At 40.7% G+C, this 25,288-nt stretch overlaps 1 protein-coding gene and 1 long non-coding RNA gene across 12 annotated transcripts in view, besides 1 other annotated feature; one reads left to right on the forward strand and one right to left on the reverse strand.

The window, feature by feature from the left end:
- SPAG1 (sperm associated antigen 1) overlaps positions 1-24,883 on the forward strand; it is an 83,867-nt gene extending 58,984 nt beyond the window's left edge. For 5 of the 11 annotated variants that reach the window (XM_047422128.1, NM_001374321.1, NM_172218.3 and 2 more), the window contains exons 13-19: positions 3,258-3,410; positions 8,152-8,318; positions 14,135-14,267; positions 16,390-16,516; positions 22,219-22,383; positions 23,382-23,750; positions 23,870-24,883. In XM_047422128.1, the coding sequence (XP_047278084.1) occupies positions 3,258-3,410; positions 8,152-8,318; positions 14,135-14,267; positions 16,390-16,516; positions 22,219-22,383; positions 23,382-23,750; positions 23,870-24,001 (1,246 nt within the window). In that variant the 3' untranslated portion in view covers positions 24,002-24,883. Of the gene's footprint in view, positions 1-3,257; positions 3,411-8,151; positions 8,322-14,134; positions 14,268-16,389; positions 16,517-22,218; positions 22,384-23,381; positions 23,751-23,869 lie in introns of those variants that run through there. The other 6 variants (XM_011517241.3, XM_011517240.3, XM_047422129.1 and 3 more) reach the window with 6 other exon arrangements.
- LOC105375669 (uncharacterized) lies at positions 176-3,262 on the reverse strand. Its single transcript, XR_928450.3, has 3 exons — positions 2,078-3,262; positions 374-522; positions 176-262 (listed from the first exon to the last, which is right to left on the reverse strand). It is a non-coding gene; the product is annotated as an uncharacterized LOC105375669 (long non-coding RNA).
- Positions 12,175-12,224: an enhancer, noted in NCBI's record as "active region_27686". NCBI's record gives its function as "activates an Ori minimal core promoter by ATAC-STARR-seq in GM12878 lymphoblastoid cells {active_cell/tissue: GM12878}" and the evidence as "EXISTENCE:reporter gene assay evidence [ECO:0000049][PMID:35858748]".

A 25,288-nucleotide genomic window follows, 5' to 3' on the forward strand; every position in this document is an offset into this window, starting at 1 on the left:
TGCCTCCCAGGTTCAAGTGATTCTCCTGCCTCAGCCTCCCGAGTTGCTGGGATTACAGGCACTCACCACCGCACCTGGCTAATTTTTCATATTTTTTGTAGAGAAGGGGTTTCACCATGCTGCAGGCCAGGCTGGTCTTGAATTCCTGACCTCAAGTGATCCACCTGGTTTGGCCTCCCAAAGTGCTGGGATTACAGGGATGAGCCACTGTGCCTGGCCCAAAAGTTCTTATCACCAGATAAGTGGTATCAGGAGTCAAACACTGAGAAAGAAAAACAGGCAAAATTTAAAATAAGAGGAGAAAATTTTACCTATGAAAATAATTTTTAAATGTATTTTGGGAAAAACTACCATTTGATTTTAAATGTCTTACCTCTGAGGAGCATTGGTTGTTTTCCAGGGGTGTGTTTGGAGAGTGGCCATTTGGAGTGCAGAGTTGGGGTTGGGGGGGTGTTGAAGATCTTGAAGGTCTCTAAGCCTGGCCTCTCCCCTCACCACAGCATCTCCATGACTCTTTTAGACCTCCAGGTGAAACATGAAAAGGGGTTATGATGCTTCAGTTTGAAAGCCATCATTTTACAACTTTTAAAATACTCATAATTGTTTATAAGCTAAAATACTTCACTTTTCTCATCTATCAGAACCTTTTTGGTTTATCTAAACCACACCAAAAATCTTTTGGTGACTTTCCATTGAGGACATTTCAACAGACTAAATACAAATGAATGTTGCCTAGTAATTCTCTCCTTTTTCGTTTTTCTTTTCTTTTCTTTTTTTTTGAGACAGAGTCTCACTCTATCACCCAGGTTGGAGTGCAATGGCATGATCTCTGCTCACTGCAGCCTCTGCCTCCTGGGTTCAAGCGATTCTTGTACCTCAGCCTCCCAAGTAGCTGGGATTACAGGTGTGCACCACCTAACCCAGCTAATTTTTGTATTTTTTTTTTAGTAGAAACAGGGTTTTGCCATGTTGGCCAGGCTAGTCTTGAACTCCTGGCCTCAAGTGGTCTGCCAACCTTGGCCTCCCAAAGTTCTGGGATTACATACAGGCTTGAGCCACCGTGCCTGGCCAGTTCTCTGCTTTTTCTTATCTTTGCTACTCTCACAGTCTTGAAATTGGAAGATTTTTTAGGGTCTTAACTGTGTTACCTTGAATAGATAGCCTCTTTTGTAAGCTCTGCTTCAAAAGTTCTCTGTGCTTATTTTTATACATGGGTGGTTTTTTTCCTTAATGGAATTTCCATTCATAAGTTCATATTCATTTTCAGGATTGTAGTTAAAGAAATAAATTTACTGGGCAGAAAGTGCTAAAAATTAATACAGCATCTCATCAGTTTTAGATCCCAAGCTTGGCTTAAGGCCATCTTGAATAGATAAATGGCACCTTGGTCATTGGAAGTCTTCTGTGAAGTGAAGGTAGTCACATGGTTGTGACTCTGCTCATAGAGTTAATATTACCTAAACATTAAACTAAGCTAAATTTAAGGCAGTGGTACAGGTGACAGATCCTGATGCCCACAGATCTATTTTCTAGTGTTGAAATATGTTTACTTGATTTTAATTTTATATTTTAAATAACATTTACTGTTTTAAAAAACCACTTACCTATTATAGAAAACTTAAGAAAAAACTAGCACAGCACAAAGACTATCATTAAAATCACTCACAATCCTAACACCTAGGCAGAGTGAAATTGGTTATTTTTTCAGAGAAGTGAAGCAGATTAGGTTTAACAGCATTTCTAGAGTAACTTCTATGATATGCCAGAAGGGCTCCCACAAGTGCAGCTGAGTATCTGTATGATGTGGTCTGAGTGGCAAATGACTCAAGAGTTCCTTCATTTGCAGTGTTTGTATGTGTACTGCGGTAGGCAGAGTGTAGGCTTTTGAGGGCTCACAGAGAAGTTTGCTGAGTGCCTCTCATGACCCAGGTGATCTAGGACTGGGAATATAGTGGTGCTCAGGACAGGCAATGCCAATTGCCTTCCTGAAGCTCACATTAGAAAGAACTGACCTGTGGGCATGTCACTCCTCATGTTTCTGTTTCTTCACCCACATAATGAACATATTAATATTTACCTGACAGGTTTGTTGTGAGATTAGATGGGGAAGTCTACAGTGACTAGCACATAGCAGATACTCTGTCAATGTTTCCTCATTGCTGAATCATTGTAGACAGGAATAGACAGCAGATTTCTAAGAGTATCGGAAAAACAGCAAGTTAAAGAAAGCAGCCCTTGCTCATGCTTTCCTGGAAAGTTAAATACTTGTTATATTAACTGTTTATAGCATGAGTTGAAAGAATAAATCCACCATCTTCAATGTGGACAGTCTGGTGCAGATGTTAGTTAGGTTATATAGAAAGGAGGCTCTTCATAGGATCTCTGCATGGAGGACTTCTTTGCAGCTTCTGTTGATTTTGTTAAAACCAAGAGTACTATAGTTTTCATTCATAAATACAGATTTGTGATTCCTTAACCAAAGGCTCTGCGCTGCCTTTTGACTTAACATATTTTCAGTTTACCATGGGATTATTGGGACATAACCATATTGTAAATCGAGGATTATATGTACAGTTTTTTTATTGTTTTACTTCAGAATATAATGAAGTACGTTAAATGCTGAAGTAGCTTTAAACACTTCAAACAAAACCAAAAAACACAACCATGAGATACATCTTTAGTGATATTGGAAACACTTCATAGACTAAAACGTGCAAGATGAAAATTCATAACTTAGAAGAAATCATTGTAGGTTTAGTTCCTTGATTCCCCTTTGGTCTGTTTTTGAAGCCCTTTTGCAGCAAGTGAATCATAATGAACTAATAAGTTTTAGAGTGCCGATTTTCAAAATGTGATGCAACTTTTATGGTTCTGTACTTTATTATTAAATACATAGGTGCAAATAAGAATTTTCATTTTAATCTGTCAACGACAATCTGTTGAAACCCTGCTGTGTGCCTTGTGCCATGCTGCTCTGTTAGGGGACTGGGGAGGCCAGGACATGCTGCCAGGGAGCTCCCGGCTCAGTGGGAAAGAGTAAATGCAGAGTGCTTTGCTACTGGTTTAAAAGAAAGGAACACAAATATGATTGCTTTCTTACTCTGGGTTTGCCTTTCTGGCATGTTGCCTGGTTCCCAAGACGAAGTCTCGGATGTGTACATATTTGAGAGTTCAGTACTGCAGTATCTATTCAGTGAAGTATAAACGAAAGAGCATTTTTCAAAACAAATGGTATGTAATATTTTTGTCTTCTTTAGGGCTCTGGAACTTCATCCATTCTCTATGAAACCTCTTCTGAGGCGGGCGATGGCCTATGAAACTCTAGAGCAGTATGGGAAAGCTTATGTGGATTATAAAACAGTGTTGCAGATAGACTGTGGACTCCAGCTAGCAAATGACAGTGTTAACAGGTAATTAATCTGAGGCAGCTACCTAAAATCTAGTTGTTTTATACTGTTTTTCCCTTCCCCTCCTTCAAGAACATGTCAAAATATAGATGTGTTATCAGTTACTTTTATCACCTGAATGATTGCCTTCTTTTATTCCATTACATCAAATGGTTCTCTCCCTTAACTTAATTTCTGACTCTCCCTTAATTAATTCTGACTTGTCCTCTAATGCCTTTGTATTTGTTTTCTGATCCATTTATTACTGTTCAATCAGTATTTTTTTTTGGTCTTAGTAACACAGGATATAACTCATATGTGCTGCTTAAATATATGTGGTGATAAGAGGGTATTTACATAGATATCATAAAATCAGTACTAGTAGCTGGGTGCGGTGGCTGATGCCTGTAATCCTAGCACTTTGGGAGGCCAAGGCGGGTGGATCACTTGAGGTCAGGAGTTCGAGACCAGCCTGGCCAACATGGCGAAACCCCATCTCAACTAAAAATACAAAAATTAGCCAGGTGTGGTGGCGGGCGCCTGTAATCCCAGCTACTCAGGAGGCTGAGGCAGGAGAATTGTTTGAACCCAGGCTGCGGAGATTGCGGTGAGCTGAGATCATACCACTGCACTCCAGCCTGGACAACGGAGCAAGATTCCAACTCCAAAAAAAAAAATTAAAATAAAATAAATAAATCAGTACTAGCTATAGAATAAGATCCAAAAATGTGGTGAAAACTGCTATGTTGAATCCTCTCCTCCCACAGGATTTGCAGGTGTTCATTGGCACCATATCTGTCAGTGGAAACATATCTCTTGTTTCTCCTGAGGAGAATGGATGTCTTCATGAGCCTGCCAGATATTTCTGTTATATGCCCTTGTAAATAGACACTTATCTAGGATGAATAGTAATTTATAATGGCGAAATAGCAAAGAATTTGGATCTAATTTATGTTATGACCTATTTACCCCCAGCGTGAGAATGGGAAGGTAAAAACTTCCAGACTTCATCAATTGCTTTCCGGTGAAATTTGAAAATTAACTAGTTGGATAACATTTCTAGTTATGTATGACATTTTCTGATCCCATTTGCTTAAAGTGTAACTTCTGAAATATTTATATGTTACACTGTACCCCATGCTAGTCTAGTGGACCAGGCCTTGATCCTCTCAAAAAAGAAAAAAAGGGGAAAAAATGACATGGTCTCCGTCTTTAAACATACTAGAATATAGTTGGGTAGAAACAGTGTACAGCAGTTTATCTCCAGGCTCGGGGAAGGGGATCACAGAGAGGCCAGGCCACCTGTGTCTGTATGGGCTGAACTTGTTGCAGAGAGAGCACTTGAAGGGGGCTTTGAAGGATGCTGAGAGAACATGAAGAGACCTTAAACAAAATTGTAGAAAATGAGAATGGTAATTCAAGGTAAGTTTTAAAATCAGACCTTACCTTCCCATGTGGTCCCAGCCCTGCTGGAAAGATACATAGGCAGAAGTGACAACCGTTCTCTTGGTAGTCACAGGGAACCTGTCTGATCCCAGCCTGCCTAGAAGAAAGGGACATACATCCATAATCTGTGATGGGGTGAGATGAGACGTCTTGAACCTCTGGCACCCACAGCCTCCTTGACCTTGAGCTTCCTTGGCCTTGACCAGGCGGTCTCACCTGGCGCTGCACAGCCACCCCACGGTGCGCCATCTGCTGCCTCCTTTTATGTGCCTGCAGGCCCTTTCTCCTTTTTGTCTTTGAATTCCTTCTCATCTATCAGGAGAGGACTTGCCTCCTCTAGGAAACTACTTGCCCTGATCCACTGTCTCCCTACCCCATAGGTGCACCTTAGGTTCCCTTTCTCAGTGCCCCCATAACACTGGGCCCTCTTTTATTACCCAGCTTCTATATTGTTTTCACGTTTGCTGTCTCCCTGTGTAAAATTCTTTTCCTGTAGCTGTAGCCGGTGTTCCCTGAGGTCAGAAATTGTGTTTTTTCATCTTTGTCGCTGCACTGCCTCCTGTGTCTGCCTCCAGTAGACGTCCTCAATAAAAATGAGTGCATTTTCAAACAGAGAACACAGAGTTCACTCCTGTGCTTTGGGGCATTGTTTGTTGCTTTTAATTCGCCCCATCCTCGGCTTAGTAGTTTTCAAGGTAGAGCTGGAGAAAGTAAGATCTTCTCACAGTGTTAGAGGTTATCATGAAATGGAAAGTGGGGAGACACCGGAAGTATCTGGCAGAGAGGAGGGCCTGATGAAAAGGTATTTTAGGAAGTCTAATTAATAGTAGGCTGAATGGTTGAAGGGAGAAATGGGTCTGAGAGAACATGATTACTGACATTTCTGACCTTTTGCATTATAGTTTTTCTAAAAAATTGAGGTAGAATTCATGTACATAAAATTAACTAAGATGTGCAATGCAGTGGCATTTTGTACACTTACCATCTTGGGCAGTCATCACTTCTTTCTAGTTCCAAAACATTTCCACCACCCCAAAAGGAAGCCCTGTACCCAGTAAGCAGCCACTCCCCATTTTCCTTTCCCCCCAGCCCCTGGCAACCACAATCTGTGTTCTGTCTCTACGGGTTTATCTGTTCTGATGTTTTATCTAAATGGAATCATATATGGCCTTTTGTGTTGGGCTTCTTTCACTTAGCATAATGTCTTCAGGGTTCATCCACGGCATAGCATGGATCAGTACTTCATTGCTTTTTATGGCTAACATTCCATTATATGCATGTATATATCATATCACATCTTGTTTATCCATTCACCAGTTGATGAACATTTGGGTCATTTTCACCTTTTGGCTATTGTGAACAGTGCTGCTGTGACCATTCATGGACAAATTTTTGTTTGCATACTTGCTTTCAGTTCCTTTTCGTATATGCCTAGGAGTAGAATTGCTGGGTAATTCTATGTTTAACTTTTTGAAGATTGTATTATATTTGTTATATGTACTCAGGAAGGTTCATTTAAAGTAATTGACTTTTAAGACTGAGTCATTTTTTTTAATTGAATGGTTCTTGTTGATATTTTGTTGATGAGGAGGCTTTGGTTTTGCCATATATATTTTTATATACAATATCTGTTTAAAATTTTTCACTATTTCTTATTTGTGAATCCCACATTTATGCTTGCTTTTCCATCTATTCCAATTCATTATGGAAAATTAAACAGCAGAAGCTTTTTTTTTTTTTTAAATTTAAACATCTGTATTTATTTTGTTTCTGTCTTCCATTAACCATATGCCTCTCTTCCTCTCCAGGAATCTTATATGTTAAATTTCCCTGCATATACTTATTTATTCCCTGGCAACACATCATCTCTTTTCAGCTGCTTCTTCCTTCCTCTCTGCTGGTAATATAAGTTTTGCTTGAAAATTCTTTTTTCTGAAACTTCTTTTTCTTCTGCAATTCTGGGTGGTTATACATTAATTTAAATTTTTTTTTACATTAAAGCATAAGATTCAATTATTATAACCAAAGATCACTATGGAAATTTAAGTTTAAGAAACTGTAGGGAAATTATGTGCATTACATTTGTCTATATATAAATATAAAAGTTTTTCACACAAAAAGTTGCGACTAGATTTAACTAACTTGAATTTATTCTGCTAATTGCCAGTAAACCAATTCAGTCTTAGGAAGCAGTTCTTTTTAACCAGATTTGTTCAAAAGACGTAATTTTTAATTTTATTTTTAAATCTAATTATGACATTCTGTATGTTTAAAATAATGAAAAAGTGATCACTGAGGATATTAATCTAAATTTTATGATGGCCATCAGTAAATGCCATTAATAAAAAAGCCCTTGTAGTAGAATCTAGTATCTTGTATTTTCATCTTTATTCATATGAAAAGAGAATAAATGGGGCTGGGTGCGGTGGCTCACGCCTGTAATCTCAGCACTTTGGTAGGCTGAGATCACCTGAGGTCAGGAGTTTGAGACCAGACCGGCCAACATGGCAAAACCCCGTCTCTACTAAAAATACTAAAATTAGCTGGGCGTGGTGGCGCGTGCCTGTAATCCCAGCTACTTGGGGGGCTGAGGTAGGAGAACTGCCTGAACCCGGGAGGCAGAGGTTGCAGTGAACCGAGGTCGCATCACTGCACTCCAGCCTGGGCGACAGAGTGAGACTCCATCTCAAAAACAAAACAAACAAACACACAAAAGAATAAACTGATAATTATAGAGATGAAAAAAATACAGAGCAAGAAAGAGTATCTTAAACACATGTAAGTGTTTTGAGAAAAAGCATTATTCACATGACAGCGAGCCCTTACCAGTGTTGGCAGCCAGTCTTGTACACCTGTTGTCAACCACAGTAGTTGGTAATGTGGTTATCATAATGTACAGTTTGGGCACAGAAATTCTAAAATACTTCTGATCATTCTCAAGAGTAATACATTATCAATTTAGTAATGATTTTAAATATTACAGGAGACATTTCTTCTAGGCCTCCTAAATTTTAGTTTTATTAATATATTTAACTTTCTCAAAAAATACAATTTTATTATGTATATGTTAAAATTTTTTAACAAATTAAAAATGTCTTTTTTGTTTTGATTAAAAAATAGTCTAAGTTGCATCATTTATGACAACTTGTAAATATCTTTTTGAAAACAGTTTATACGGACAGAAAATGCTCAGGATTGCATGTTTTCTACAAGGAAGTACACATTTGCATAGCATTTGCAAATTTTATTCTTAATCTGACCTTCAGTAATATAAAAAGCAAACTAAATGATCAACAGAGAAAATTCACTTTCTCTTTAGGCTATCAAGAATTTTAATGGAGCTGGATGGACCAAATTGGCGGGAGAAGCTGTCACCTATTCCTGCTGTGCCTGCTTCTGTGCCACTGCAAGCTTGGCATCCGGCAAAAGAGATGATCTCAAAACAAGCAGGAGACTCCAGCAGCCATCGCCAGCAGGGCATCACAGGTGGGGGATGCCTGCACTCATTTCTTCTCAAGGTTACCTTGAGTTGTGTGTGTACTTTCACAGTAAAGCAGAGAGATAAGAGCATTAATTCTAGAATCAGACCTAGGTTTAAGTGAAGTCCCTGTTCTCCCTATTTTATTATTATTTTGAGACAGGGTCTTGCTCTGTTGCCCAGGCTGGAGTGCAGTGGTGCGATCTTGGCTCTGCTTCCTGGGTTCAAGCAATTCTCCTGCCTCAGCCTCCTGAGTAGCTGGGATTACAGGCATGTACCACCACACCTGGCTAATTTTAGTGGGTTTTTTTTTGTTTGTCTTTAGTAGAGACAGGGTTTCACCATGTTGGCCAGGCTGGTCTCAAACTCCTGACCTCAAATGATCTGCCTGCTTTGGCCTCCCAAAGTGCTGGAATTATGTTCTCCCTCTTTAAAACTACATGGTCTTAAGAAGTTGCTACATACCTCCTGTGTCCTACTAGTATACATGTAAAAGCGTTTTTTGTTTTGTTTTGTTTTGAGACAGGGGCTTGCTCTGTCACCCAGGGTGGAGTCCAGTGGCGCAATCACGGTTCACTGCAGTCTCGACCTCCTAAGCTCAAGCAATACTCCTGCCTCAGCCTACTGAGTAGCTGGAACCACAGGTGCACACCACCATGCCAGCTAGTTTTTTTTTTTTTTTTTTGGTGGAGTCTCACTTTGATGTCCAGGCTAGAGTGCAGTGGTGTGACCTCGGCTCACTGCAACCTCCACCTCCCAGGTTCAAGCGATTCTCCTGCCTCAGCCTCCCGAGTAGCTGAGATTACAGGTGCCTGCCACCACGCACGGCTAATTTTTGTATTTTTAGTAGAGACGGAGTCTCCCTATGTTGCCCATGCTGGTCTCAAATTCCAGGGCTAAAGTGATTCTCCTGGCTCAGCCTCCCAAAGTGCTGGGATTATAGGCATGAGCCACCATGCGTGGTTTAAGGCAGGGGAATGTATTAATAAATGTCTCACAAGGAGGTTGTCAGAAATAAATGGAGATGTGTATATAAAATAGTATATTCTGACTTTGTAAACCTGTAGTAACCTCTTAAACATTGTTAACTAAGAAGGCCAGGTGCAGTGGGTCACTCCTGTAATCCCAGCACTTTGGGAGGCAAGTGGATCACTTGAGCCCAGGAGTTCAAGACCAGCCGGGGCAATATGGCGAAACCCTATCTCTACAAAAAAATAGAAGAATTAGCCAAGCGTGGTGGTGCATGCCTATAGTCCCAGCTACTTGGGAGGCTGAGGTGGGAGGATCCCGAGCCCAGGAAGGTTGAGGCTGCAGTGAGCTGTGATGGTGTCACTGCACTCCAGCCTGGGTGACAGAATAAGATGCTGTCTCAAAAAAAAAAAATTTAAATAACATGTAGCTCTACAGTAGACCCTGTATGTGATGAGGCTAAAGGAATAAGACTGATATGTTTAAAATAATAAAGTAAAGCCCCACAACATAAATATAATCATGTGCTCATAATGGTATTTCAATCAACAATGGAGCACATATATGACAGTGATCCCATAAGATTATATACTGTAACTTTACTGTGTTTTTACTGTAAAGGTACTATACTCTTACTGTACCTTTTCTGTGTTTAGATACACAAATACCATTGTGTTACAGTTGCCCACAGTATTCAGTACAGTAACATGCTGTTACAGGTTTGTAGCCTAGGAGCATTAGCTTACACCATACAGCCTGGATATATGGTAGGCTATACCATCTAGGTTTGTGTAACCACACTCTATGATGTTTGCACAATAGCGAAATTGCCCAACGACAAATTTCGCAGAATGTATCCATTGTTGAGTGATGCATGGCTGTGTAATGCAGGTGCTTCCTTCTGTCTTTATTGTAGTTGTTAAAAAATTTGTATTCCCTTAGTGCCTACATTATTACTTTGAGTGTAGTAAGTAAGCATTTAATAAATGTGACTTCACCCTTGCTTTCTGCTTTAAAGCCAGCTGAGGCCCCATTTCTCCCACAAAGCTTAGAAACTCCATATGTGTCCCCAGGCTGTGCTTCATCTTGCAGATGCCCTGAGGTTCCTGACCCATGATGTCCAGATGGCTAGTGTTGGACCCTCATTTTCTTTATTGCCAAGAAAGAGCAGACAGGGAATATCTGCCAAGTAGATGATCTAGCAGTCCTAGGGAAATTATGGAGATCTGTAGTTTTCTAGAGTCCATTATTAATAGGGCCTGACACAAAGCATTTGTTCAGTAAATAAGAGCTACTTCTTATTAACAAAATGCATATATAGCTGTGAGTTAGCAAACCATAGCACAAGTATAATCAGCTGTGTTTGAATTTTTCTGTCCATATTTGTTTACTGATTGATAGTGAGAATGGATACCAAAGGTTTAAAGACACTGGAGGATAAAAGCTTGAGGAAAATTTTTCAGCAAAATCTTCCCTAATATTCTATTTCAGGGTTTATATACCAGGATTGGGAAAGTACCATTTGACCCTATTGTGTCAGATTTTTTTTTTTTTTTTTTTTTTTGAGACAGGATCTTGCTCTGTTGCGCAGGCTGGGGTGCAGTGGTGCAATTTTGGCTCACTGCTGCCTCGACCTCCTGGGTTCAGGCAGTCTTCCCACCTCAGTCCTGAGTAGCTGGGACTACAGGTGTGTGCCACCGTGTCTGGCTAATTTTGTATTTTTTATAGAGACAGGATCTCATTATGTTGCCCAGGCTGGTCTCGAATTCCTGGGCTCAAGTAATCCTTCTGCCTCAACCTCTGAAAGTTCTGGGCTAACAGGTGTGAGTAGCCTAGGCTATGTGAGATCTTTTGAAACATGAAACATGGGCAGAAATATTCTGTGATTTGAAATAGAAGATGAAAAGTAAACTAGCATTTTATACAATTTGTGCAGAGGGACAAATAAGATTATTGTTTACATTCTGAGTTTATATTATAAATTTAGGGGGCTGGGCATGGTGGCTCTTGGCAGTAATCCCAGTAGTTTGGGAGGCCATGGCAGGAGGATCACTTGAGGCCAAGAGTCCAAGACCAGCCTGTGAAACAAAGCAAGACCCCCATCTCTACCAAAAAAAAAAAAAAAAAATTGGCTGGGTGCGGTGGCTCACACCTGTAATCCCAGCACTTTTGGAGGCTGAGGTGGGCAGATCGCCAGAGCTCAGGAGTTTGAGACCAGACTAGGCAACATGGCAAAACCCTGTCTCTACTAAAAATACAAAAATTAGCTGAGCATGGTAGCATGCCCCTGTAGTCCCAGCTGCTTGGGAGGCTGAGGTGAAAGGATGGCTTGAGTCCAGAAGGCAGAGGTTGTGGTGAGCCGAGATTGCACCACTGCACTCTAGCCTGGGCGACAGAGCCAGACCCCATCTCAAAAAAGAATAATAATAATAAAATAATAAATTTATCTATCAGAAGATTTTAAGATTACAAAATTTAAAGGTATATTTTAAATTTTAATTTATGGATTTTTATTATATATCAAATTATTCCATAGGATAAACTTATTACCTAGGTTTAAAACTTTAAATTTTAATATTTTGTGTATGTTTGAAAACTTGGTTGTAAGTAACAGAAAATCTGTTGACTTAAAGTGTAAGGGATGGTCTTGGCTTGTGTCACTGAAAGGGCCCAGACAGGCTGTAAATCAGGCTCAACTCATTAAGACTTAGGCTGTAGCAGGAAACAATAGAACTGTAGCAGTTTTAGGCTTTACATCTGCACATATCAGTGTCCAAAGAGAGAGAGAAACCATTGATTTTGATGGCATTAAGAATGAGGAAGTAGGCCGGGCGTGGTGGCTCACGCCTGTAATCACAGCACTTTGGGAGGCCGAGGCAGCACTTTGGGATCCTCGAGGATCACGAGGTCAGGAGATGGAGACCATCCTGGCTAACACAGTGAAACCCCATCTCTACTAAAATACAAAAATTAGCCGGGCGTGGTGGTGGGTGCCTATAGTCCCAGCTACATGGGAGGCTGAGGCAGGAGAATGGCGTGAACCCGGCAGGTGGAGCTTGCAGTGAGCTGAGATTGCGCCACCCACCGCACTCCAGCCCGGGCGACAGAGCGAGACTCCGTCTCAAAAAACAAAACAAAACAAAACAAAAAAAAACAAAAGAATGAGGAAGTACATTTCCCCAAGGCCCAGGCTTTTTAATCTGTTATTCTGTTCATCTGAATTGGGCCATGTGCCCATCCCTGAGCCAGTCTCTTTTATGAGGAAACACCCCACGCACTGAATGGCTTAGACCTGGGGTTTTGATCAGTGAGGTCAGCCTCCCCTGAACACGTGGTCTGAATAGGAGAGGGGTGATAGCTGAATGAATATTGAGGTCCTGGAAACAGATTCTGAGCAGGGTATCAGCCATGTTCACTGCAAGATAATAGGGATAGTGTGTAATTCTGGTAATGAGCAGTTCAGACTCTGATTGTAGATAACAGAAAGCCCAACTTATAATGCCTCAAGTAAGCAAAAAGCTGTTTATGGGCACTTACTATAGACATATCCACAGGTGGAGTGGCTGCAGGGATGGCTGGATTCAGGACTCAGAGACTCCAGCTCTCCATCTTGGCCTCTTCCTTGCTCTGATGGCCCCATTTTCACATCATCCCTTTTTATCACAAGATGGAAAAATAGCTCCTCCTTTGAGCCTTAAATCCCACAGGAAAGAAAAAGATTTATTTTACAAGAACCTTGCAAAACATTTTATCAGCTCTTATAGACTCATCCCTGAACAATTGGATTACTATGGCCATAGGACCATGATGTGCTGATTAATAAAATGATTATCCCAAAGGTTAGGGCTGGAGTGAGGTTTGCTTCACTTAAACCAAAGGAGCACAGAATGAAAGAGATATGATTTCCCAAGGAAATTTGGGGTGCCGGATAGATGTCCACTTCAGGCTTTAAGAGGAGTGTTCACTATTCACAAAATAATTGCCAAGCAAAACACTGTGGATATTTGTATCCCATTTCATTGACTGGTTCTGTCGTATCCAAGCTTAACCAGAGGTCTGAAGTGCTCGTGTACCACTGTAAAAGCGCTGTGTGAGGCAGCATAGATGGAGATGACAGAAAACACTGTGAGGGTTGCTAGTTCACATGTGCAGCCTTATTGGAGACTCTGCCTCTTGTCATATAGTCACCTGAGCCCTGTTAGCATTGTTTGCTTAATTCTCTCCATCTCTAAGGTGGTTCTGGCCTCTGTTACTGTCTTTAGAATCCCAGTAGAGAAAAGATGGCATGTCAAGATGGATAACATGACAGAATTATTACTTGTATCTTATTTTATTTTTTTGAGATGGGGTTTCGCTCTTGTTGCCCAGGCTAGAGTGCAACGGCATGATCTTGGCTCACCACAACCTCTGCCTCCCAGGTTCAAGCACTTCTCCTGCCTCAGCCTCCCGAGTAGCTAGGATTACAGGCATGTGCCACTACGCCCAGCTAATTTTATATTTTTAGTTAAGATGGAGTTTCCATGTTGGTCAAGGTGGTCTTGAACTCCTGACCTCAGGTGATCCGCCCGCCTCGGCCTCCCAAAGTGCTGAGATTACAGGTGTGAGCCACTGCACCCGGCACTTGTATCTTATTTTCTAATTAGAAAATAATAGTATCATAATTATATAATTATTTTTACTTATAGCCTATTTGTCATTTTAATTTGTCTACAAAGTTTTGTTCTAGTTAGATTTTCACCCTGCATGCTGTGTGGTCAAGTTAATTTGCAATAGAAGATTTACTTATAGTTGTACTTAAGATTTTATAGAGGTGCTTGTACAGATACTTCCTCTTCTTTGTTTTTTTGTCCCATAGATGAAAAAACATTTAAAGCCCTTAAGGAAGAAGGAAATCAATGTGTAAATGACAAAAACTATAAAGACGCCCTCAGTAAATACAGCGAATGCTTAAAGATTAACAATAAGGAATGTGCCATATATACAAACAGGCAAGTTCTTTGTAACTTTATATATTTCTTATGTTAATAGTTTTGATTATTAAAAATATTTTAAGTTATTTTATTAACACAATTAAGTAATTGCCAAAGTTTTTTGTGATGGTTCTAAGAATTTCTATAGCAAGCTGTCCTAACCAAGTGTGTCTGAAAGAGGTGAGGCCGTGGGAGTTCTACAGAGACTGGAAGCCTGAGGTGTGGGCGGGATGGGAGGTCTGACATAGTTTGTGCCACCAGGTTCCCAAAAGCGACCATGGCTGCTTTGGCTTGTGCAACTCTGATTCGGCATTTCCTGGCTTGCCGGCCTCGTTGCAGCTAGCTGGGCCTGGGCATTGTCCAGTGTGGGAGGAGCAGGAATCAATGGCCTTTCAAAATAGTGTCTTGGCTGGGCACGGTGGCTCACGCCCATAATCCCAGCACTTTGGGAGGCCGAGGCGGGTGGATCACGAGGTCAGGAGATCGAGACCATCCTGGCTAACACGGTGAAACCCCGTCTCTACTAAAAATACAAAAAAAAATTAGCCAGGCGCAGCGGCAGGCACCTGTAGTCCCAGCTACTCCGGAGGCTGAGGCAGGAGAATGGCGTGAACCCGGGAGGCAGAGCTTGCAGTGAGCCGAGATAGCACCACTGCAGTCTGGCCTGGGTGAAAGAGCAAGACTCTGTCTCAAAAAAAAAAAAAAATACTGTCTTAGGGAGAATGCCCTTTTCCTTCTGAAGTGCTGCGGGAAGGCACCAGCGTCATTTATAGCGTGCAGCAGGAATGGGCAGATTGTTGCTCAGGTACCGTCTTTACCACGTAGTAAAAGATACCTATATAGAATATGGTGATAGAATATTGGACAAAAGATGTCACTAAATCCAACAGATGTTTTTCTGCCCTTCTGTTCAGCCTCTGTAGGATCGGGCATTATTGGTCACTCAGTTTTCTGTGAAGACTCCTCCTCCTCTTGGCTGCGGAGGAGGAGGCTGGCAGCTCATTGCCTGGTTCTCGTCCTCTCCCTCTCCTTCTGTAGGCTTTTCTTTCCCTAGAATTCTCATAGTTCTGAGGGTCTAGATCCTTTTTCCTTTCTACGTACTCTAGAGGCCATTCCATCCTCTCCCCAGGTCCACTCACCACCTTACAATGATGTCTTCCAAATCTCTGTCTTCTGAGCTCCAGACTGAAGCGCTCCCCATCTCTTCTGCACTCAGGGCTGGATATCATCCCCTACCTCCCTCTTCCAGTCAGCAAGCTCAGATGCTCCTACCTTCTAAATCCCAAATCCATCTTCAGTGTGACCCTTTCTGTCTCCTTGCCACCATCCCCCTGTCATTCCCTTGCTCTGGGCCACTGTCCTCTCCTCCTAAATGTCTGCAGCACCCTTATGGTGTCCTTGCACAGCTTTGTTCCATCATCTCATTCTCCAAGCTGTAGCCAGAGGGACTGTCTAAAACATGGCAAATGTGTCAGCCCCTATTAAAAACCCTTCATCGGACTTCCATTAAGCTCAGTTTATAAAGCTCAACTTCCTTCCATGACTTACAGTGCCCTTCGTGATCTGGCCTGCCTGCTCTTCCAGCCTCATCCCTGCATTCCAGCCATATGGAACTCTTCTTAATTCTTCAGGAACACCATATTCTCTTCCACTGTAGGTGCAGGTCTGTGCACTCGCTGTGTCCTTGGCCTCCACTCCCCGCTACCTCCATCTGAACTTTCTCAACCCAGTGCATTTGCATTGGATAATTCTTAACTTCATACTCTGGATTTCAACTTAAATGTCACTTCTTCCAGGAAGTCTTCCCTGCCTGCTCTGCGCCTTGTCTCAGCCCCACTGAATCTGATGTAGTTCTCAGCTGTGTGCTCCCAGAGTACTTTGCACAGATTTTATTGTGTTTGCTTGTTTTAATGGTCTGTCTCTTCCACTTGATTGCATCCTCCTTGAGGGCTGTGACTGTATTTTGTTTGCGGTTGTATGCCCAGTGCCATAATTGAATCAAATGTTAAGTTTCAATGGAAACCGCAGTGGTATAGCAACAGACATATTGAGCTATTTTCTGATTTTTCTTAGCTGTCTAAAACTTACAGATAGCCAATCTTTACCTTTCATAATACTGAGTTCCATTGCATTATGCCAGAGCTCTCTGTTACTTGAAGCTGTGCCAGTTTGAAGAAGCAAAGCAGGACTGTGATCAGGCACTTCAGCTAGCTGATGGGAACGTGAAAGCCTTCTATAGACGAGCTCTGGCTCATAAAGGACTCAAGGTGAGGAAATCTTCATTTTAATGCATAAACTTCAGCTCTGAACAAATCAAGTGGTTTTCACAAGCATAAATCTCCAGATCTTGGGATGGGATTGAGGTTATTCTTGGATTTAATCCTAGAACTGTACTAACCAGTTCTAAAACCTTGATAGAGGCCTCAGATTTCACCCCTAACCATAATGTGAAACTAGATTGCTTCTAAGATTCCTTCCAGCTCCAAAATAATGATTTATTCTCTAGTTTTCTGAGGAATATTGTTAGTTATAGTAGGTTCATTTTAAGATAGAGGAAGGTTTGGTACTGAATTACCGAAACTAGCAGTAATGCTGCTGGTTCCTCCGGCAAGGATTGCTGTTGGAGGTTGGGTGGGGAAGGCATCAGAATAGAAGATGGGTGACCCAGCGGAAGTTGGGAGAGACACATCGGAGACTTGAAAGCTTATAGTGATCTGGGCCTTAAGCCAGCTGATGGTCAGTGTAAATCTGTAAAATGCCATTCTTCTCTAAGAAAACCATGCCATTAGTTTAGAAGAAAGTGGATATTGTATCATTCCACTTTTCTTCACACAGATTCTTCTGCATGGAAATCCTGAGGAATGAATGTTCATATTTATAGAAAATAACATCACAAGGAAAAACCAGAACATATTGGAAAATAGTACTTCCTGAAATAATTTTTTAAGCTCAATTTTATTAAGGTGTAATACAATGAAGTTCATACATTGTAATTGTGCAGGTCATTGACTTTTGGTATGTGCATATCCTCTTGTAGCCAATATCCCAATCGAGATAAAGAACATTTTCTTCTGAAGGTGGTGTGTGCTAAAAAAAAATAACATTTTCATCTTTCTAGAAAGTTCTCTGTGCCCCTGTACAATAAATCTTCCTCCCTCCACCCCTACCCTCAGGCAGCCATTCATCTGATTTCTATCACTATAGATTAGTTTTGATTGTTTTGGACATTACCATAAATCATATAGAATGGACTCTACTGTTTGGCTTCTTTCAGCATAACCTGAGATTTGTTTATATTGTGTGGGTATCAGGAACTGTTCCTTTTTATCACCGTGTTGTATGAATATATCACAATTTGTGTATATATTCACCAGTTGATGACACTTAGGTTGTTTCCAGTTTGGGGCTGTTAGGAATAAGGCTGCTGTGACATTCTTGTGTACATTTTTAATGGATGGACTTGTTTACAAACTGTACAGCTGGAGGCCAGATGTGACTAGGAGTGGGGATAGAGGGAGATGGTCAGATCCTGAGGGGCTTGGTAGGCCATGCTGAGGAGGCTGGACTTAATTCTGAAGGTGATGGAGCCTCCAGAGCAGGGTAAATGGTGGTGTAATGGATCAGATTTGGGGACCTCATGGAAGGTTGATAAGAGGGGCCCAGGATGAGGAGGAAGGTAAGTGAGAGATCACCAAGGTGAGAAGCAGGTACCTGAAGGAAAGTAATGTCCAAGGAAAGGGAGAAGTATGTTAGCTGCTGTGGCTGCTATAACAAAGCGCCATAGACTGGGTGGCCTGAACAACAGAAATCTATTCTGGAGGTGGGAAGTCTCAGCTTGCGGTGTTAATAGGGGTGGTCTCTTCAGAGGCCTATGTCTCTGGCTTACAGTTGCTGTCCTCTCCCTGGGTCTCCATGTGGCCTTCCCTCTGTGTGTGTGTGCCCAAATCTTCTCTTTTTATAAAGACACAGTCATCTTGGACTAGGTAGGGCCTACTGATTTTAACTTGATTACCTCTTTAAAGGCCCTGTCTCCAAATATGGTTACATTTTGAGGTACTGGAGGTTAGAACTTCAACACAGGACTTTCTGTGGGGACGTAGTTCAGCCCATAACAGAAGGGAAGGGGCCAATTCAAGGGTTTATGGTAAAGTTGACATAGCAGTCAAATGTCTAGGGGAAGTGATGGAGGGGATGCCTCCCAGGTTCTGGCTGGGTGGCTGAGGGTAGTGGTGTGATAATGGGGAGCATTCAGGAGCGGGGCAGTTTGGGAGTGGGGAGAGGATTGTTTTGACTGATTGAGTCTGAGATAGTTGTTTTAATTCCGTGCCCATGACTGAAAGGGAACTATCTAGGTTCTGCAGGGAGAAGAGCAGTCATGTTGCATAATATAGCAAATGAGGACCACCCAGGTGCACTGAATGGCCACCTTTTCCAGATTGTAGATCCACTCTGGCTGCAGTGCAGTCAGCGTGCATGTCCCGCCAGGACCCCCGTGCTGCCCTGTGACCCCCGCCCCATGCTGAGGGAGCCACACAGTGTCCATGTGACCCTAACACATGCCTCCCCGCCGGCCCTCTTTTTTTTTGGTTAGCAACACACTCACTTGTAAAAAAAATTCCTAGATGGTGTATGGCACCACAAATTAAAAGAGACTCCTTTGAAATTTACTCACCTCTTTGAGCTTAGTAGATTTGGTAAATGAGGATCTGTATGGCTCATGAGTTTACAGATGGCCAAACTCTTGGAGCACATTTACCTCTTACTGGCTGCCTGACTTTCTGAACCTGGTGAGCTGACTAAAGGTCAGAAGCTGCACCCTAATGAAAGACTGGACTTTAGTTTGTGTGGGTATCATCATTAATACTTCATTGGACTTTTCTATTTCCTTGGAATGAATTCCAGAAATTATATTATGATGCAGAAAAATAATCCCAAATTTGAGTAATCCTATCCCACTAGATTATGAGGCTGGTAGCTTATAGCTTGATTTGTTGTCCAGTAATTTGAGGTATGTGCCAGGTGAATTTAATTTCAGAATTTTAAAAAATGTTTAAGAGAGACAGGGTCTCACTATGTTGGCCAGGATTGGTGTTAAACCCCTGGCCTCAAGCAATCCTCCCACTTTGGCCTCTCAAAATGCTAGGATTACAGATGTGTGCCACCATGCTTGGCCTAATTTCAGGATCTTCAAAGGCTACAACTGCTTATAGAATGTGTCAGAACTCACGCCCAGGCCTGTTTGCCCAGGGTGACTGCAATGAGGAAGTGGCACAGGGGCTCACGGTGGCAGGTGTCCTGCCTTTAGCTCCCAGCTCAACTCTATGTTTTCCTCAGATCTTCTGTTTGTTTTCTGACTTTGTTATTTTTAATGGTGCCAGCTTTGAAAAATATGAGCTTTCTTTAATGTACAGCTGTTCTTTGTAAGAAAAGATCACTGAACATTTTGCTTTTATTTACAATTTATTTCTCTTATTGAGTGCCAATTATGTGCTAGGTGTTAGGAGTATAGAGGTGAATAAAGACATGGTGCCTACTTAGGGAATTTACACCCAATAGAGGGTGCTGCAAGATCCACCCAAAAGAGGATGCTGTAGAGGATGATACATACAATTGTTATGTATCAATACAAATATCAAAAAGAATATCATAAAATAACTATTGCTTTTATGGTTTCAGCAAAACTATTAATGGTAAATATCACAAACACGTGATTATAATACATCCCTTTTTAAAGGCCTAATGAGGTTAGCAACTTTTAATGCCTTCTTTCTTGTCAAAGCTACATTTTCTGGTTTGTTGTTGTTATTGTTTGTTATTTGTTTATTTTTGAGACAGAGTCTTGCTCTGTCACTCAGGCTGGGGTGCAGTGGCGTGATCTTGGCTCACTGCAACCTCCACCTCCAGAGTTCAAGCAATTCTCCTGCTTCAGCCTCCCGAGTAGCTGGGACTACAGATGTGCACCACCACATCTGGCTAATTTTTGTATGTTTAGTAGAGACGGGGTTTAGCTGTGTTGGTCAGGCTGGTCTCGAACTCTTGGCCTCAGGTGATCCACCCACCTTGGCCTCCCAAAGTGCTGGGACACACTTTCTATGAGCTCTGCTCTTCCCTCTACACTGCATGGCTGGGTTCTCTTCAGGTCTTGACTTCTCTGACACCTGTAACTGTAGAAAAAGGAGGCTCTCTTGTTAGTATCCATCTCAACCTTTAGTTTTCTCCATGACATCAATGACAGTCTGTAATTATCTATTCATTTGTTTACAGGTTTTTAATTGCTTCCCCTCATAGGACGTAAGCTTCCATAAATGTAAAACTTAAGTCTGTCTTTCTTTGTCTTTTCCGTGGTCCTCTTAGCTCCTGGCACATGGACGTGCTCAGAGACCATCTGTGAAGTGAATGAGCCTCGCCCCCTCTTAGCTGCCTCCTTGCCCAATTCTGTCTATGCCCTTGCTGCCATTCTGCCCTCTTCATGCTTGTCTGCAGTGCTAACACTTGTCAACATGCATTTCTTGTTTTCTTATGTCTCTTCCAACCAGTCAGGCTGCTCTTTAGGCAGAGACTTTCCGGATTCATGAAAATGATCCTATTGACTCCTAGGGTGCTGAGCTTCCATTTCCAAGGCTGTGGCTCACAGGTCTCTATTTCCAGTCCTTTCCCTTGAGCTCCATGCCATGTAATCATCCACCTTCTGGTCATTGCTGTTGTGACCATCCCATTCTTCATTTTTAAAATGGGAACAATAGAAGTTAATATTTGTAGGGCTGTTGTGAGGGTAAAGTAATAATTGTAAAATGCTTAGAATGGTAAGAATCAGCCTTTATTACTTCCTCAACTTGCCCTCCTGCTCCACTCCCTTGCCTTTCAGGTATGGCTCCCTGCCTAGAACGCTTAGGATATAAATACAGTGTCATTTTTCCCCCGGTAAGGTTCCAGTGCTGGTCTAGGACAGTGGTATCTGGAGATTTGTTATACTTTGTAAATAATTTACTTTTATAAACTAGAGCAGATTTAAGGTTATCCCTTTAAATATGTCCCTCTTGCTCTGGTGTGTTGCTGTAGGGGAGGGGAAAGGCATGTGGGATTACAGCTAGGCCCCCGGGAATGTCACATAATCACTAGCTCAGCTTATCTGTGCTCAGCCTCTTGTGCATGCTGTTACTGATGTGTCATGAATACTTGAAGAGGTTACACATCCTTGCAATTCTTTGCCTCTTCACAGTTTGGTTTATTCAAAACATGGGTCTAGTCTGTAGTTTAGAACATAGCTTGTCACAGCAGACTGACTTTGGGGCATCTGTCTTTGCTGCTAGATTCAGTGGTCATGTCTTGTTAGGTGCCCTTTCTTTCCCTCAACTTCTTCAGTGTATTGTGTGACTCATGGAAGATTAAATGTTGACTCTAGCCAATTCGAAGAGTAAACAACCTGGAAGGATTTTATGGAACAAAAGTATTATAATAACTACCATTTGCATAGTCCTTTATAGGTTTAAGCCACTTATTATTTGTTCATTTATTTCTTGGTACAGCCTTGTGAAAATTTGAATAGAGCTTTTGTTCCCCTTATGTTAAAGATGAGAAGACTGAAGCCCAGAAAGGTTAAGTAGGATCTTAAGTTTCATTGCTAGTAGGTGCTAATACAAGGATGAGTTCATTCTTTCATTTATTCATTCAGCAAGCAACAAGTGCTTATCATGTGTTAGGGACTGGGAAGGTTGTGGTGATACAGAATTTAACTTGCGTTTTCTAACTCCAGATCCTGTGCTTTTTCTTCTATAGTCGATGTTCACTGTATCATGGGTTATACTATTTCAGCTGCATATTCACCCCACAGGCTCACTTTGTAAGAGTGGTATTAATGTGGACCCTGCACACATACTGCACAGCTCACTACATCCACCCCACTCCCACTCAGGTTACTCTAGGCTCCTTCTATTTATGAAAGTTATTTTCTCTGTCTTCCTACTTACAGAATTATCAGAAAAGCTTAATTGATCTCAATAAAGTTATCCTACTAGATCCAAGTATTATTGAGGCAAAGATGGAACTGGAAGAGGTAACTAGACTCCTTAATCTTAAGGATAAGACAGCACCATTCAACAAAGAAAAGGAGAGAAGGAAAATTGAGATTCAAGAGGTATTTGTATTTGATTATCTTTGAAAGTACTCCTTTGGGGACCTTAGACTGGATTCTAAGGTCATATTCCTGTGAGTTCTAAAACATTTTTAATTTTGTGTTTTTATTCTGATGATCAGTGACAAAATTTTAACCAGCAACAAAATGTCTCCTTTGCAATGATAATTAGCCATTGTATTTCCCAACGTGGGTCCATGGATGGTACTGGGAGTCTCTGCATTACTGCAGTTCTTCCTTTCTTTGGCCTCCATCTGTACTGCTCCCACTCCAGAGTACACTGGGAACCAGCGGCCACTGACTTTGCTCCAGGGTAGACCTGGAGAATCCTGACGGGACTGATTTTGTTACAGGGGCCCTGAAAGCCTCACCTCATAGAGATTATCCAGATTGATTCAGACCTTTTTAGCACTCTGAAATATGACTGCCTCATCAGAGATCTCGAACTACCTCAGGATCAAACTGCTTTTGTGATTCAGATAACTAAAATGTTTTTCTCTGCCTAATATTAGGGAAGAATGTTAGGCTGTGAATCCCTGTACATTCATGAATGCTAATACCCCATTTATAGTCTCACATTTCCACTAAGAGTAAGAGGCTAATATGTAAGAGAAGCTAGGAAGGTTTTTTTTCCTCTTTAAGGAGGGAAGAAAAAACTGTTTTAGGAGAATCGAGCAATGTAAGTTCATTTCTCTGTTAAAATTTATTGTGAAAAGGAGATAAAATTGACATAGGCATTTATACAACAATTGTATAAAGTCTAAAAATTAAATTTTGTTGTCATAGTTTCAATGTCAAATAATTTTTTAAAACTTTTATGAATTGGATCTTACACCCTAAAACTTCTCTTCCTAAAAAAAATTATTACAAAGTTTTCACTTGGAACTGGACTACAGTACAGTCTACTTGTAGTTTTCAATTCTCATTCTGACAGACGTACTTAGGATGTATGTGGTGATTGTGGTTCAGTGTCACAATGCATTTTTCTTTTCTTCATGAAGGTGAATGAAGGCAAGGAGGAGCCTGGAAGACCTGCAGGGGAGGTCTCCATGGGATGCCTTGCTTCTGAGAAGGGAGGCAAAAGCAGCAGGTCACCAGAAGACCCTGAGAAACTTCCGATAGCCAAGCCTAATAATGCCTATGAATTTGGTCAGATTATAAATGCTCTCAGTACCAGGAAGGATAAAGAAGCCTGTGCACATCTTTTAGCCATCACTGCACCAAAAGATTTGCCGATGTTTTTAAGTAACAAACTTGAAGGGGATACATTCCTTCTCCTCATTCAGTCTCTGAAAAATAATCTTATTGAAAAAGATCCCTCATTGGTGTATCAGCATCTTTTATACCTGAGTAAAGCAGAAAGGTTTAAGGTAAGTGGCTAAGTATTTTATTAGTAGAAATTGGTTTTATTAGGGTTTCTGTAACTTAAAAATGTTACTTATGCTAACATAGTTGGTTTTTTGTTTTTTTTTTTTTTTGCTTCTTTTAGATGATGTTGACACTAATTAGCAAGGGCCAAAAGGAGCTAATTGAACAGCTGTTTGAGGACCTTTCGGACACACCAAACAACCATTTTACTTTAGAAGATATACAGGCCCTAAAAAGGCAGTATGAGCTTTAAATCAAGATAATTGTTAGATTTCTTCCATGCATGTATGTGTTCCAGGAATGTTAATGAGATGGTATTGTAAAAGAGTTGCATGGATAAAACTTGGCCTAGAAAAGTTTGGTCTGCACTATAAAACATTTTACTTATTTTCCTACATAGAACATGTATATTCTACAATCTGCTTTTTATTAGTTGTAAATATTTTCTTATGTACCAGAACCAAATAAGTATATTTAGAACTTGTTAAAAATACATTTTAATTTATGATATACATATTATTTTAATTACTTGTTAAAATTTTGAGTTAAGTTGCATTTCTTTGGGCTATGAAGGAGTCCTCTTAAGTTTGATAGAAATGAATTTCTTGTAACATTCTTTTTTAAAAGTGGAAGTCATTAACAGTGATTATTATATCACTTATATCCTGCTAAGATACACATAAATCCCATTTTGTACTAGTACCTGTGGATTACAGTCAGTTAAAATGAAATGCAACACTGAAGTCTATAACATGAAATGATTATTAAATTGTTTATTAATTTAGAGCTATAAGAGGAACTTATTTTTTCTAATACGGAAGCATTGCCTAATAATTAAGAACAAAAATTGCCAAAAATTTCTACCACTTTTTACTAGATTTTAAAAAGCTACTTTCTTTTATATTGCCTATATAAGCAAAAAACCAACCACTGTATTAAAGCAAACTAAGCCTGCATTTATATCTGAATTATTACCTCCATATTTTACCAAACATTTGAATGTCCCCCTTCCCCCTTTTTTGTTTTCTGCTTTTATGACTGTATTTATTCCTTTACTGTAAAAGAATATGAAGAACTCATACATGTTGAAAGCTCCTTTGTTGACTGGGTCAAAGTGAAGGAATTTCAATCTCCATCAGTGTACTGTCATTTATTTCTGCGGTCTGTAGTGCGTTCCCCCTTTCTGGAGCATTTTCTTATTCACTTAGAAGTGAAGATGAAAGTTAGTATCATGTTTACTATTTCCATATTCATTATTATTTTATCTAATCTTTTATAGTTACAGAATATTTTAACTCATCTTGGGTAAATATCTTTCAAACTGTGCCATTTTTCTTTGAAACTGCTTTCTTTGTTCATAAGTGAAAAATCTGTAATGGGACTTTAGTCTTCAAACAAAATTTCTCCTTTTTAATGTTATTGAATTTTTATAAAAGTAAATGGTGGATTGTTAGAAATGTATCCTATGTATGGAGTTTACTTACAGAAATGGGACCACTCTTTTCCTATACATAGCAACTTGAAATTAACTTTAGAGACA

Source organism: Homo sapiens, chromosome 8 (assembly GCF_000001405.40).
Source record: "Homo sapiens chromosome 8, GRCh38.p14 Primary Assembly".
In the NCBI taxonomy this organism is placed as follows: Eukaryota; Metazoa; Chordata; class Mammalia; order Primates; family Hominidae; genus Homo; species Homo sapiens.